Source organism: Homo sapiens, chromosome 2 (genome assembly GCF_000001405.40).
Source record: "Homo sapiens chromosome 2, GRCh38.p14 Primary Assembly".
Classification (NCBI taxonomy): domain Eukaryota; kingdom Metazoa; phylum Chordata; class Mammalia; order Primates; family Hominidae; genus Homo; species Homo sapiens.
The window spans coordinates 222,880,987-222,897,032 of record NC_000002.12 but is presented as its reverse complement, the minus strand read 5'-3'; the positions used below and the strand labels follow the sequence as shown (position 1 = coordinate 222,897,032).

At 40.5% G+C, this 16,046-nt stretch overlaps 1 protein-coding gene across 4 annotated transcripts in view, besides 1 other annotated feature; it reads right to left on the bottom strand.

Annotated features, from left to right (window-relative positions):
• Nucleotides 1–16,046, bottom strand: part of ACSL3 (acyl-CoA synthetase long chain family member 3) — an 83,604-nt gene that overhangs the window by 47,607 nt on the left and 19,951 nt on the right. For 2 of the 4 annotated variants that reach the window (NM_004457.5, NM_203372.3), the window contains exon 2: nt 9,145–9,203. The exons of the other annotated variants lie outside the window; for them this stretch is intronic. The gene's annotated coding sequence lies outside the window, so the exon portion shown is untranslated. The remainder of the gene's footprint in view (nt 1–9,144; nt 9,204–16,046) is intronic. 4 annotated transcript variants of the gene reach the window in all.
• Nucleotides 1,565–1,765: a silencer, noted in NCBI's record as "peak4046 fragment used in MPRA reporter construct". NCBI's record gives its function as "represses an SCP1 promoter by STARR-seq MPRAs in K562 erythroleukemia cells {active_cell/tissue: K562}" and the evidence as "EXISTENCE:reporter gene assay evidence [ECO:0000049][PMID:32103011]".

Below are 16,046 nucleotides of genomic sequence, written 5' to 3'. Positions count from 1 at the left end.
AGTGAGGAGCCCCTCTGCCCGGCCGGTCGCCCCGTCCAGGAGGGAGGTGGGGGGGTCAGCCCCCCGCCCGGCCAGCCGCCCAGTCCGGGAGGGGGGAGGGGGGTCAGCCCCCTGCCTGGCCAGCCGCCCGGTCCGGGAGGGAGGTGGGGATGTCGGCCCCCCGCCCGGCCAGCCGCCCCGTCCGGGAGGGAGGTGGGGGGGTCAGCCCCCCCGCCCGGCCAGCCGCCCCGTCCGGGAGGTGAGGGGCGCCTCTGCCCGGCCGCCCCTACTGGGAAGTGAGGACCCCTCTGCCCGGCCAGCCGCCCCGTCCGGGAGGGAGGTGGGGGGGTCAGCCCCCCGCCCGGCCGGCCGCCCCGTCCGGGAGGTGAGGGGCGCCTCTGCCCGGCCGCCCCTACTGGGAAGTGAGGAGCCCCTCTGCCCGGCCAGCCGCCCAGTCCGGGAGGGAGGTGGGGGGATCAGCCCCCCCGCCCGGCCAGCCGCCCAGTCCGGGAGGGAGGTGGGGGGTCAGCCCCTCGCCCGGCCAGCCGCCCCGTCCGGGAGGGAGGTGGGGGGGGTCAGCCCCCCGCCCGGCCAGCCGCCCCGTCCGGGAGGGGGGAGGGGGAGTCAGCCCCCTGCCCGGCCAGCCGCCCCGTCCGGGAGGGAGGTGGGGGGGTCAGCCCCCCGCCCGGCCAGCCGCCCCGTCCGGGAGGGAGGTGGGGGGATCAGCCCCCCGCCTGGCCAGCCGCCCCGTCCGGGAGGTGAGGGGCGCCTCTGCCCGGCCGCCCCTACTGGGAAGTGAGGAGCCCCTCTGCCCGGCCAGCCGCCCCGTCCGGGAGGGAGGCGGCGGGGGGGGGGGTCGGCCAGCCGCCCCGTCCGGGAGGGAGGTGGAGGGGTCAGCACCCGCCCGGCCAGCCGCCCCGTCCGGGAGGGAGGTGGGGGGGTCAGCCCCCCGCCCGGCCAGCCGCCCCATCCGGGAGGTGAGGGGCGCTTCTGCCCGGCCGCCCCTACTGGGAAGTGAGGAGCCCCTCTGCCCGGCCACGACCCCGTCTGGGAGGTGTGCCCAGCGGCTCATTGGGGATGGGCCATGATGACAATGGCGGTTTTGTGGAATAGAAAGGCGGGAAGGGTGGGGAAAAAATTGAGAAATCGGATGGTTGCCGGGTCTGTGTGGATAGAAGTAGACATGGGAGACTTTTCATTTTGTTCTGTACTAAGAAAAATTCTTCTGCCTTGGGATCCTGTTGATCTGTGACCTTATCCCCAACCCTGTGCTCTCTGAAACATGTGCTGTGTCCACTCAGGGTTAAATGGATTAAGGGCGGTGCAAGATGTGCTTTGTTAAACAGATGCTTGAAGGCAGCATGCTCCTTAAGAGTCAGCACCACTCCCTAATCTTAAGTACCCAGGGACACAAACACTGCGGAAGGCCGCAGGGTCCTCTGCCTAGGAAAACCAGAGACCTTTGTTCACTTGTTTATCTGCTGACCTTCCCTCCACTATTGTCCTATGACCCTGCCAAATCCCCTTCTGCGAGAAACACCCAAGAATGATCAATAAAAAAAAAAAAAAAAAAAAAAAAAAAAGAACAAAGTAATGGTAACAGGCCAGGACAAAAGAGGTTCTTTTGTTTTTAACATAAATAGTAGAGCTTGTCTGCAGACTGATAGCTATGAACCAGCAGAGGAAAGTATTATGCAGAAGAGAGCCACACCTCTGGAGGAGGAGAGAGGGTGGGAGAAACAGGGACACAGATGTGCAGGAATAGGAGCTTGCAGAAGATTTTCTTCTGGGTGCTTCTATTTTCTCAGAGTAATAAGCAAAATCATTGGATGTGAGGGAGGCAGAAAGGAAGGTATTAGAAAATTAAGGAGAAAGTATAAAATAGTCATCTAGGAGAGTGGCAGAATGAATGGTCATGGAAAAGGAATAGCAAAGGCAGGCTGGAGTATGAAATAATAAGACCACAGTGTTAGAACGATATTGAAATCACTAAGAATCACGACAGAGTAGTGTCAGGGTCACAGGAAGACATATTTACAGATTTGGGGATGAGTAGTTAACTGCAACTAGTAGTAACATAGTCTGAAGATAAAACTTGGAAAGACACACACACACACCTGGGAGACATGGCAGTACTGTTTCAGTGGCAAAAAACCAAAAATAGAAAATGATCTAAAGATTCATTAATCAAAGAATGCCTGAAAAACATATATACCCATTGAACAGACTATTATGCAGCCATTAAAAGTAAGCTACATGTACATGCATTGACCTAGAAGAACTTCTATGATACCTTGCCAACTGAGAAGAATGTATACACGGGCATGCCTGGCTTCATGCCTGACTACAGAAAAAGATATAGGCAAGTCAAGGTTTTTAAGAAATTATCCCTGAATATTTAAATGCAGGTCTAAGTCCATTAATCTTTCACCATGAAGAATTTAACAACTCCCAACTTCACTAAACTCTCACAACTGCTAATTAAAATAACAAGATGAATTAAGTTTAACAGCATTAAAAGAAAATGACCTATTACTACTTATACAATAAAGATGAGCAAACAAAATCTTGAAATATAAAATTGTGTGATAAATAGCTAGGTTCAAACACTTGAAATGTGTTTTTTAAAATGTTCTATGCCAATGGTCAGTTGCATTAGATCAAAGAGTTATTTACATCTTATATTTTAATTAGCAATTGTTTTAAATCAGAATGATCAAGCACAAGGAAGATCTCTTCTCTGTATGACCTCTATTATTTGAGAGGAAGAACACAGGTGACTTGGAAAGACTGAAGGAAAAGGAGACCAGACAGGATTTTGTGTTATTCAGATCTTGTGTTATGAAACAAATGTAAGTAAAGTAACGGAGCTTAACCATCAGCCAGGAAATCACTTTCAAATGATATACTTCCAAAAGGTATGAAGTGGATGTTAAAATAAAATTTTATGTTAAAAATTGCTATTAAATAATATTATTAATATCATAGTCAAATGCCCTGTAACAACTCCCAATTTTTCAAAACAAAAATTGCTACAAATGCTCATATGAAAGCTTCTTGCCGGGAGCGGTGGCTCATGACTGTAGTCCCAGCTACAATGGAGGCTGAGGTGGGAGGATCTCTCCAGCCCAGAGGTTGAGGTTGTGGTGTGCTGTGATCACACCAAAGCACTCCAGCCTGAGCAACAGAGCAAGACTTTGTGAAAAGACAAAGTCAGAAAGAAAGAAACCCTGTGAGAAAAAACAACCCTGTGAGGTGAGAAGAGGCAGAGGAGGGATGGGGAGAGGTGGGAAGGGAAGGAGAGGGAAAGGAGGCGGAAAGCGGGGGAAGGGAGAGGAGAGAAAAGAAGAGAAGAGAGAAGGAAGAAAAAGAGAAAAGAAAAGAGAAGGAAGAAAATCTTCTATCAGAGATGACGTGTTTTCCTAAGAGAAAAACAGGAAAAAAGTAGGTTGCCACAGGGATCACTTTCAGACTAACGTATCAAATGGTTCTACCTGCTTAGATCTGGGGTTTCAAGAATCTCTTAGGCGCAAGAGAGATACAACATGGTAACTCAACCCAAAATTGGCAGACCTGTGAAATTAACCTCCACAAAACTCATGGACTGAACAAAGAAAACAGGAGTCACTCTCAGAATCTAAGACATGTACACTGTCTAAGGAGGGAAGAAGTCAACAATGGTATTATATTCACACCCTACTGACAGAGCAAGCAGACATTTTATGCCCCTCACATCCACCACCATCATGAAAAGGAATCTGAAAACTCAACTTGCAGAGCAGGCAGAGAGCCCCAACACTTAGAAATGCTCCCACAAAGTCAAAGGCAGCAGAGGATGAGGACAGGGGGAAGAGAGGACAGAAAAGGAGAAAATACTGCAGACGGTGCATCTTGATATGCCACAATTTACTTCTCAGTTAATCCTGCCCACCACTCAATCTGATTTCCTCCTCTGTATTTTTCTTTCAGCCTACCACACTCAGGCACCAATACTATACAACTGTTCATATCTGCAAATAACAATAATAATAATATGGCTTAGCATTTTATCTCTAATGAAGTATAAATGAGTGGCTTGCACAATGCTGGATATCAAGGAATCCGTATTTGCTAGTATGAAATGTGGCTGGAATTTTTCACCAAGCTTGCAATAAATGGGAAACAATTCTGAGTGCAGGCAAACAAGCACAGTGAAGGGAACTTTTTATGTTATCTCATTTAATTCTCACAAAACCCAATTTCAAATAGATTGTCCCCAAAGGCACTTACAGCTAGCAGGTAAGGTAGGATATTAACCTACATGTCTCTCCAAGGCATGTCCAAACTTTTTAATGACCCTATACTCTCTTAATAAATTCTATAGTTAATACCTTATTGTTGGGGAGAAAAAAGTATCCTTTAATACACTACTTTTGAGAGTCTCCTTTCCACAAAAGTTAGGTGACAGTCATACACACTCTACAGAGACTTAAGAGTCCCAGATGAATGACGCAAATCATGTATTATGAAATAGGAAACCAGGGTCAAGAAGGGCAGAAAGAACTATTTCCTACCCAGAATTAATCTCTCAGAGTTATAATGGAAAGTGCAACCAGAGACTATTATTTACTATCGGGAAAGAGTTTCTTTTTTAGAGGGGCACCCTGGTTCTCACAAACATGTTTGCTTCTCAGGCATCCAAAGCTAAACACATAATAAAAATACATACCTAGATACCTAGTTCAAGAGAATGGTTTTAAAACATTTACTTACTATATATCCTGCTGCCTCCCTCCCGAAAAAAAGCAGACCTAAAAGTAGGACAGTTGTTTTAAATTCTTACAAATATCAACAACACACAGACTAACTTATTATGTGTAATACAGTGGTTCTTATGTATTTAGTAAAGACAAAGAATTTTTCCTCTCCAAATCCTCAAATACTAACACAATCTTTCAACAACTTCAAAGATTTCAACTATGCCCACACAGTTGCAATGTATGACATCGCAATGACTACAGGGCTGAAATCGAGATCATTAATCCATGCAAGAACCTCCTTAATACAAAAATAAAATTGTCGAAAAGATTCTGGACAGGAAATCAATTAAAAACATTATTAGAAGGTTTAGTCATATTACTATCTGGATTAGATAAAAAGTTCCACTTTACAACTAGGAAGTTTTATGAGGAAATAATAATTTGGTATTTTATTTTTAAGAAAACTATAAAGCCTATATTTATTTTAACCTCAGAAAATGAAATGTTGGCATTAAAGATAAACATTGGAAAGGAGAGAGGGAGGAACATTTATTATAGCAAGTCTTTCCCATGAATATATCTACATGAAAAAGCAGTTTAACAAAGCCAACTTTTTAAGTTTCAGTTATCCAGTGTAATTTTAAAATTGTTTCAGTCCTATTAGTATGATAGCGGAAATAACAGTAGGACTCTTGAGTACTCTCCCTAAACTATAAATACAGTCCCCTCAATTTCCCCAAAACTGATCAAGACCCACTATTTCTTTAAAAAACAGCTTTTATCCCTCTTCTAGATAAAAATCAACAGGAAACAGAAATCAGGCAAAGGAATATATATCTTTTTCAGTTAGATACACAACAGGGATTTTAAATACATATACACACATGCATATGTGCATAAACACATACACTAGACTAGACTGAGCTCTGCTGCCAATTACTAAGAGATCTTGAGCAGGTCACTAAATCTTAATTTGTTCACCATTAATATTGATGCAGTTCAACTAGATCGATTTTAAGACTATATTCTACTGATGCCTAGGGTTCCCAAAACTGATTAAGACAATACTGAATAGGATTCTTTACTCTTTTCAGTACTACTCCTTATTTATTCCAATCATTTCCTACAAAATGATTAATGAGAAAGCCAGCTATATAAGTATTTCAGGAGAACATGAACTATTGGATTACTTAATGACATCAACCTGGCTCATGAATATTTGAGGATCTTCATAATTCCAACTCAATCCAGCTACGTACTACATTTGGCATTACATGAACCTGTACTAAGGAGAGTGAACAGACAGCCTAATTTTTAAGTGAAGGTTGTGTTAGTTGAAGTAACAAATTCACTTTTAAATATACCTCTTTTCGGCCAGGTACAATGGCTCACGCCTGTAATCCCAACACTTTGGGAGGCTGAAGTGGGCAGATCACTTGAGGCCAGGAGTTCAAGGTCAGCCTGGCCAACATGGAGAAACCCCGTCTCTATTAAAAAATATAAAAATTAGCCAGGTGTGGTGGTACGCACCTGTAATCCCAGCTACTTGGGAGGCTGAGGCACAAGAATCACCAGAGTCTGGGAGGCAGAGGTTGCAGTGAGCCAAGATTGCGCCACTGCACCTCAGCCTGGGCCACAGACCAAGACTCTGTCTCAAAAATAAACAAACAAACAAACAAATCTACCCACCTCTCTTTCCCCCAGGGTGAAATAAAAAATAAAATTAAAGAAAATTCAAAGGCCAGAGGAAAAATATAACAGTTCCAAACATACAAAAAAAAAGTTAGCAAAAGTAAATCTAATGAACAAAGTATGCATATTTGAGAGAAGACAGCTCTTCCGGTTATGTTTAACCTTTGAGAATGTAAAAGAATTAAAGGTTCTGAAGATTTTCAAGATGATTTTAAAATGCTTATTCCATTTATAAGAGGTACAATAGCTTAAAATAATTTTGCAAGCTAAGTCTACCCAGAATATATTTTCTTTAATTTCAACGATTTATATATCATTCAGTAAGATTACTTAGATGTTTCCTTTTCTCTTCCTCCACTCCCCTTCCCACCCCCAAAAGCCCAGTTTCTTATCTGTAGTCTGCATGGACCAGCTAAAAAAACAAAGTTAAGAAAAGGAAAATAACATATAATTAGAACTTAAAAGTATGTTGTGGAAATATACAGAATAAATAACCTGCATCACAATTAACATATTGTCTTCATTTGTACTATGTAAAGGTTAAGTAGCTAAAAATAAGGTTTAAACATCCGATTACTTCCTTTAGTCAATAGTCTTGTGTTGTATTCAAATATTACTTGCTTTTTTATCTTTAAATTCTTTACAACATATTTTCTTCTTCCTACAAATTCCCAATTATTTTACCACTAAGAAAAGCTATTCCTGAACAACATATTTCAAAATCAAAGCAACTAAGATCACCAGTTGTCTTCCCTCTCACCTCCATTCTCTGCTGTGTCATTCCCTGGCCTCTGCAGCTTTTCTGCAAGTGCTCAAAAACCAGATTACACTTAAAAACAGAAGACACAGAAAAAAGGAATCCACCTTAAGTAGCTATGAGAAACATCTGGCCCAGCTCTTAAAAACCATTTTCCTCTGAAACCAAGGGAGGAGCAAACTTGCTGCTGTCTCCGTCTCCTTCCATACTTCTCATCTAGGTCACTTTCACATACAAATCCAAATTTGCTTCGCTACATTTCTTAAGAAGTTTAAAATGTTTCAATCCGACAATCACACAAAGGACACGTACAAATGTGAATTAACTTCCATTTTTACATTATCTCTTAAATCATGGGACTTCTGAACATAAGCAATTCCCAAACGTGAAAAGGTTGAGTTCTAAGTTTCGGGATTCAAGACACTGGGTTTCCCAAGTAGTTCATGACATTCCCTTTACTTCATCGCACAGTTAACCTATATAACATGACTACGAGTCTTATTTCTCTTTTTAGGCAAAATTATGACAAAGTTATCTTTGTCACTGTACCATAGTACTTCTTCCTGTGCACCACCCTCCCACATCAGTTTCTGACGGCCTTTTCCCTCCTCAAATATCCTAAGTACCCTACTGAGCACACATAAATGCACTGAAGCTCCAAAACCACTTCTTCACCTACACAAACCTAGCTGATCCTCAACAGTAATTACAGTCATTTCTATAAATGTCTACCTATTTAAAATCTATCATTTAATATGTCATAATTATCTTTGCAATTTCAATTTTATTGTAAATCTGCTAAACTCTCTTGATGCATTCTTAGCTAAGAATTCAAAGTTTGGAGTTCCCATAACCCATTAACTACTAAAAGAAATTTGTAGAGGAGTACTGTGTTACAATGGGTTTACCTAGTCACTTCAAAAGCACTCTTAATTTGATCACGTATATCCCTCAAAGAGACGCAGGCACAGACATGTCTAAAACAAAGTGAGGCGTACTATTAAAGTGGACAAAGTATATTCCTTTTTCCATCACATCTACTTCATTAAAAGATGGCAATCTTGGATACGCAAACAAAGCGTCGCAAACAAAGCGTCTGGAAAGATACACTCTATGAAAATAAGGGATAATCCCTAGCAAAAGAACCAGGGTAACATAGGAGTTTCCTGTTTACTTAGATGCTCCTACATTGCTTACAGTTTTTAATAATAAACATATTACTTGTGTGATTTCCTTTTAAAATCAGTTAAAAATGTTAAGATTAATAAATTCAACTGATATGAAAAAAGACTTCGAAATGAGATTCTGAAAAGAAGGATGTCAACTATCATGATTCTAATGGATAAAATGCTTACTGCCTTTACGTCATCATCAAAGCACTTTACCAACATAGACTATTCCCTACAGCAGTCCTACTCAATTTTTTCATTTCACAGAACGCTAAAAACCTTCGTCCTTAAATTTTTGCCCTAAAATTTCATAAACTCTAATTCACTTCAGATGACACAGAAAGAATAAAATTGTGCTATATTTCTTATGCCCCATGACAACTGTAATAACCATGCAGAACCTTCTATGGGTTGACAAAAAGCCCTTGAAACTACAATCTCTACTAAAATGTCCAGTTAGAAATTTACAGTAACATTCATACAAATTTTAAATGACCATCACATATTAAAATGGTCTAATTCATGCTAAACTATCCAAAATAAAGAGGCCACTGAGTTCAAATCCCTTGCAGATACTTAGTGAAATTCAAGTTAAGGAAAGGAAGATAGACAATACTGCTCAATGACATGGTTTAATGTCCCAATTGATTTATACAGAATTAAAGTAAATATAAAACTATCTTCCATATATAATCATAAAATGAGAATTACAATTTTTTGGTCAATTTAGCCATAATTGGTTTTAACTTAATATTTATTTTATAACAAATAAAAGAAATCTATTGTAATAAAAAATTAAATATTTTACCAGTTGACAATGGTAGGAGGTACTAGGTGCTTTGAAGATATGCGCCCTTGTGTCAAAACCTGTCAAAACAAACATAAAAAAGACAAGCATTACTACTCATATTCTAGTTAATCAGAGCCGAATGCCAACTTTTTCCTGGAACTATTTTACTTCTAAACCTCACATGAAAAGTTTCCGGTGAGTTTTTCTGGAAACACCAACCTATCACGCTAGCAAACAAAATTTTTATCATGTAACTTTTCTTCAAAAACATATAGTACACACACTACACACCAGTAAGAATGCCCAAAACCCAAAACACTAACACCACCCAATGCTTGCAAGGATGTGGAGCAACTCTCATTCATTGCTGGTGGGAATGCAAAATGGTACAGCCACTACGGAAGTTTGACAGTGTCATATAAAACTAAACATACTCCAAATATATGATCCAGCAACCACAGTGCTTGGTATTTACCCAAAAGAGTTGAAAATATGTCTACAAAAACACCTGTACATGCATGTCCATAGCAGTTTGATTCATAATTGCCAAAAGCTGGAAGCAATCAACATATCTTTCAACAAAGTAATGGATATATAAACTGTGGTACATCCAGACAATGGAAAATGAGTCAGTGTTGAAAAGAAATGAGCCATCAAGCCATGACAAGACATGAAGGAAACTTAAATGCATATTACAAAGTGAAAGGAGACAGTCTGAAAATGCTATGTACTGTATGATTCCAACTATATGACATATTGGAAAAGGCAAAGCTATGGAGATGGTAAAAGGATCCATGGTTGCCAGAGGTTAGAGCACAGAGGAGGATGAATAGGCAGAGCACAAAAGGACTTTTAGGGCAATAAAGCTATTCTGTATGTATTATAACGGTAGATACATGTCATCATATATTTGTTAAAACCTGCGGAGGGTACAGTACTAAGAGTGAACCCTAATGTAAACTATGGACTCTGGGTGATAACGATGTGTCAATGTAGGTTCATCAGTTATAACCAATGTAGCACTCTGGGGAGGTAGGGGGATGTTGATAAAGAGGGAGGCTATGCCTGTGTAGGGGAAGGGGTATATGAGAAATCTCTGCACCTTCCTCTCAATTTTGCTGTACACCTAAAACTGCTCTAAAAAATAAACTCTATTATAAAAAATAAGGTATTTCCAAAACTCAAAAAGTATACTATAAAGGCTGCGTTCATTTACTCATGATGATGATAAAGAATAAGTATTAAGATGTATATGTGGTGATATTAATACATTGTTTTTAAAAAACACTTTCAAATTTTTTCAATGATTTTCTCTATCACCTGCGAAGCAAACAGGTTAGCAGTCATTATATAGTTATTTTTAAGAATATATTAACAAGTAGAGCTAAAAGCTAAGTTTTTTTGAATCACTTAATTCAACATACCACTGCTTCATTAACTTTTAATTTGTTATTAATTTTTGTAAAAACGGACAGACCTTGCAGCCATAAAAAAGAATGAGTTCATGTCCTTCGCAGGGACATGGATGAAGCTGGAAGCCACCATTCTCAGCAAACTAACACAGGAACAGAAAAGAAACACCACACGTTCTCTCACTCATAAGTGGGAGTTGAAGAATGAGAACACATGGATATAGGGAGGGGAACATCATACACTTGGGCCTGTAGGTGGGTGGGGTAAGGGGAGGGAGAACATTAGGACAAATACCTAATGCATGTGGGGCTTAAAACTTAGATGATGATGGGTTGAAAGGTGCAGCAAACCAACATGCCACGTGTGTACCTACGTATACATGTAAACCTGCACGTTCTGCACATGTATCCCAGAACTTAAAGTAAAATAATAAATAAACTTTTTTTTTTAAAGTCAGGCATGGTGGCTCACGCCTGTAATCCCAACACTTTGGGAGGCTGACACGGGTGGATCACCTGAGGTCAGGAGTTCAAGACCAGCCTGACCAACAAGATGAAACCCCAACTCCACTAAAATTACAAAAATTAGCCAGGTGTGGTGGCGTGCACATATAGTCCCAGCTACTCTGGAGGCTGAGGCAGGAGAATCACTTGAACCCAGGAGGCAGAGGTTGCGTTAAGCCGAGATCATGCCACTGCACTCCAGCCTGGGTGACAGAGCGAGACTCTGTCTCAAAAAAAAAAGGACAGACCTTAAACTCAGATACTACTGGGTTCAAAATCCCTGCTGTTTCTTATTAGCTATGACTCCAGACAAGGTCATGCATCTATTCATCCAGGGGGGAAATAACTTAGAAATCTTCTTGTTATTAATAATTTCTTGTGCCAGTTTCCTCACATGTAAAAGAGAACAGTGCTATATATAATTCATATCCATAGTTGTAGAATTTCTATAAATAAAAAAGAGCAACAGGAGAAAGCAGGCTATGTATATTAACAGAAAATTCCACATTGTTTATTACCTATTAAAAATGGTTAACCTCATTAATTATCAAGGAAATACAAATTAAAACAGTATCATTTCCTACATTAAAATTTTTTTAATGAAAAAAATTCACAAGTGTTGGCAAAGATATGGCAAACAAGATAGATCTTGGCACTCTTACGGAAGTACAGCCAGTTAAGAGAGCAATTTGGCAGCATCTAGCAAAAGCTGAAAATGTAGACTCCTATGACCCAGCAATCCCTTTTGACAAATATGCCCTGGGGAAACTTATGTGCCATGCTTACTTTACCCTACTTTATTAAATGGCCCAAGGTGACAGGTCCTACTAGGTATGTAATTGGCCCTCAATAAATGTTAAAAATCTCTTCAACAAATATTTATTAAATGCCTTACTCAGCTCCAGACCCGACACTTTGCATTCTAAGAATGACACCATAGTACTGAAAAAAAAGAAAATTCCTAGTCAGTGGTAGAGCCTGACAAATCACTTTAACGTGGCAAAAACTATGAGAAGTGCATCAGCTGCATTAGGAAAACAGGCAATTGCAGCCTTTTGTCTAGGGTGGAGAAGACAAGGTCAAGGAAATCACTATAAACTGAGTTGATGCATGTATTTTTGTTCAAGCAGACAATAACTGCAGGCAATAATAACAATTATTTGTAAACGCGAAGGGAACTGTACAAGAAAAGAGAAATTTCAGAAGACTCTAAGTAGTTGTAGTAAGCTGAATAAAGGACCTCAAGGTTATCAGGCCCTAATCCCTAGGATCTACAAATGTTACCTTATTTGGAAAAAGACCCTAGATTACCCAGTGGTCCCTAAATGCCCTCACAAATGTCCTTATAAATAGAGAGGCAGAAGGAGATTGGACACACATGAAGGAGATGGTGACGTGAAGATGGAGCAGAGAGATTTGAAGATGCTGGCCTGAAAGATTGGACTGATAATAGGGAATGCCAGCAGCCACTAGAACTGAAAGAGGCAAGGAACAGGTTCTTCCCTGGAGCCTTCAAAGCTCTGCTGATACTTTGATTTCAACCCAGTAACACTGATTTGAACTTCTGGTCTCTATTAACATTAATAGAATAAATTTCTGTTGTTCTAAGCCTCCCAGTCTGTGGTGATTTGTTGCAGTGGCCCTAGAAGACAAATGCCTCACTGCCACTGTGAATGTTTGCTGCCCTAAGTGGTTGAAACATTATCCAGATCTCTTAAAAGTCTTCTAACTTTTATTAGCAGGGGGATGACATACTCGGATCTGTTTCATAATATTAAACCTGGTGCCAAATGTTGAGAATTTATTTGTGGAAAAAGAAACTAGAAACAGGAAAACCATTTAAAAATTCAAAATCCAGACAGAAGATAAAGTTCTTAATCACCAGATATTTGTGAAAAACCATCACTATCAAAGAAAGAGACAAACAGCAGACAAAAAGTGCCTCAGTGGAAACAGACAATGTAGGAAATGTGGGAAATTTTAAAATATGTCTATGTAATATTCTCAAAGGCATAAGAGAGGCTATTGCCATCTATGAAACAAGAATGCAATGCTATATATTAACAGAAGGAATAAAAATAAGAAAAAGTTCTTTGAAATTAATAGCAGCTGAAATTAAGGAGTCAATACAAGTGTCAGAAAATGAGGTGGAGACTCTTTTCCAGATAAAGAAGAGCAAAAGCAAGGGGTAGAATATAGAAAATTTAATTCTCATTTTAAAAAATAAGGTGTTAAATTAATCCAAGAGATTCAAGTTCCATTACAAGGAGTTCCAGAAATAGAAAAAAAGAACAAAGAGGCAAAAATTCCTGAAGCATTTTGCAAGCAGAAATTCCTAAAGCACACTGCAATATAATATCCCAGAGCTGATAAATACTAGTCTTCAGTTTGAAAGGACTGGGCAGATGAATGAGGGAAAAAATAACTGACTTCTAGACAGAGCCACGTAAATTCTCAAAGCTCAGAGTATAAGAATATCCTCAAATCTTCCTAAAAAAACAAAAGGCTGGCTGGGCATGGTGGCTCACGCCTGTAATCTCAGCACTTTGGGAGGCCGAGGCAGGCAGATCACCTGAGGTCGGGAGTTCGAGACCAGCATGACCAATAAGGAGAAACCCATCTCTACTAAAAATACAAAATTAGCCAGGCATAGTGGCGCATGCCTGTAATCCCAGCTACTAGAGAGGCTGACTGACACAGTAGAATCGCTTGAACCCGGGAGGGGGAGGTTGCAGTGAGCCAAGATCCTGCCACTATACTCCAGCCTGGGCAACAAGAGCAAAACTTTGTCTCAAAAAAAGAAAAAAAGAAAAAAAAAAAAAACAGAAAGCAAACCACCTACAAATAAGGTGATTCTATAACTGATCAACAAAGAAGGATACATATCAGAATAAAAGGAGGTACTATTAAAAAGTGTGATTTGGGCCAGGTGTGGTGGCTCATGCCTGTAATCCCAGCACTTTGGAAAGCCAAGGCAGGCAGATCACAAGGTCAGGAGATTCGAGCCCATCCTGGCTAACACAGCGAAACCCCATTGCTACTAAAAATACCAAAAATTAGCCAGGCATGGTGGCATCTGCCTGTAATCCCAGCTACTCAGGAGGCTGAGGCAGCGGAATCACTTGAAGCCAGGAGGCAGAGCTTGCAGTAAGCCAAGATCATGCCACTGCACTCCAGCCAGCCTGGGCGACAGAGCGAGAATCTGTCTTCAAAAAAAAAAAAAAAAAAACAGTGATCTGGAGGTATTCCAGACAAATCAGGATATATGGTCACCCTTCCTGTAAGGCAGGAATTCTCAACCCCCAGGCCACAGACCTGACAGCAGGTAGGCAACAGCAGGTGAGCAAGTATTACCGCCTGAGCTCTGCCTCCTGTCAGAACAGCAGCTGCATCAGATTCTCACAGGAGCAGGAATTCGGCATGCAAGGGTTCTAGATTGTCCGCTCCTTATGAGAATCTAATGCCTGATGATCTGAGGTGGAGCAGTTTCATCCCAAAACTATCCCCCACCCCACTGCCTCCTCGACCCCTGTCCATGGAAAAACTGTCTTCCACGAAACTGGGTCCCTAGTGCCAAAAAGCTTGGAGATCGCTGTTATAAAGAAGTAAGAATCATAATGGCATCAGATGTCTCAGAAACACAGGAAGGTAGGCAACTATGAACAAGGCCTTAAAAGTTTTAAGGGAAAGTTTTAACCTAGAATTCTACTCTCAGCTAATTTCCCAATCAATTGCAAGTAGAATAAAGAAATTTTCAGACTTTCAAGGACTTAGAAAATTTACATTCCACAAATACATTTTGCTAAGAAATTACTTTAAAAAGTCCTCAATCATGTGCATATATTCCTTTAAGTTTTAAAACAATTTTGTTAAGCCAGAATGATCTGAAGTTTTGTTACCTAGTTTACAAGAGCTGATATAATGCTGATTCCAAAACGTGACATACCACATAGGACAATCTCTTTAAAGAATATGAGGGAAAAAATCCTAAAATGTCAGCACATCTAATCCAGTTGAGTTAAAAGAATGATACACCATAACCAAGCATGGTTTGTTTACTCTGAGTGAAAAGATGCTTCACCATGAGAATTCTTTATTACTACCATCCTCTATATTTAACAGGCATAAGTAGGAGGGGAAAGGTGTGAGCATCACCATACATTTTCTTAAGTATTTAAGAAAAGTGAGGCCGGGCGCAATGGCTCACACCTATAATCCCAGCACTTTGGGCAGGTGGACCACCTGACGTCAGTTCATGACCAGCCTAGCCAACATGGTGAAACCCCATCTCTACTAAAAATACAAAATTAGCTAGGGGTGGTGGCGCATGCCTGTAATCCCAGCTACTTAGGAGGGTGAGGCAGGAGAATCGCTTGAACCCGGGAAGCGGAGGTTGCAGTAAACCAAGATCGCACCATTGCACTCCAGCCTGGGCGACAAGAGTGAAACTCCATCTCAGGGGTGGGGCGGGGAGTGAATATCAATTACTAAGTTTTAAAGGAACATCTTATTCAGAAACAAAATTGCTTAAACTTAAAAACAGTATATTTATTAGAAATCAACATTAAACATCATACTGAAAAGCAAATTCCAACCAAGTAAGGGACAACAAGGCCAACTATGATCATAATTATTATATATCAAGAAGGCTCTAACTCTATGCTGTCCAATGCGGTAACCGCAAGTGCCACTGCACACCTGAAACGTGGCTAGTCCAAACTGAGATGTGATCTAAGTGTAAAATACACATGGGATTCCAAAGACCTAGTAGTAAAAAAAGAACATAAAATAGTTAATTAATAAATTTTATATTGAACATATACACTGAAATAAGATTTTGAATATATTACATTAAACAATGTAATGAAATCAATTGCCTACTAGAAATGTAAAACTACATATATGGCTTACATTTACGGCTCTCAAGGCATGTCTTCTGAACAGCACTGCACTTTAGCCAATGCAATGAAAAAATAAACGACAGTTATGAATACTGAAAAAGAC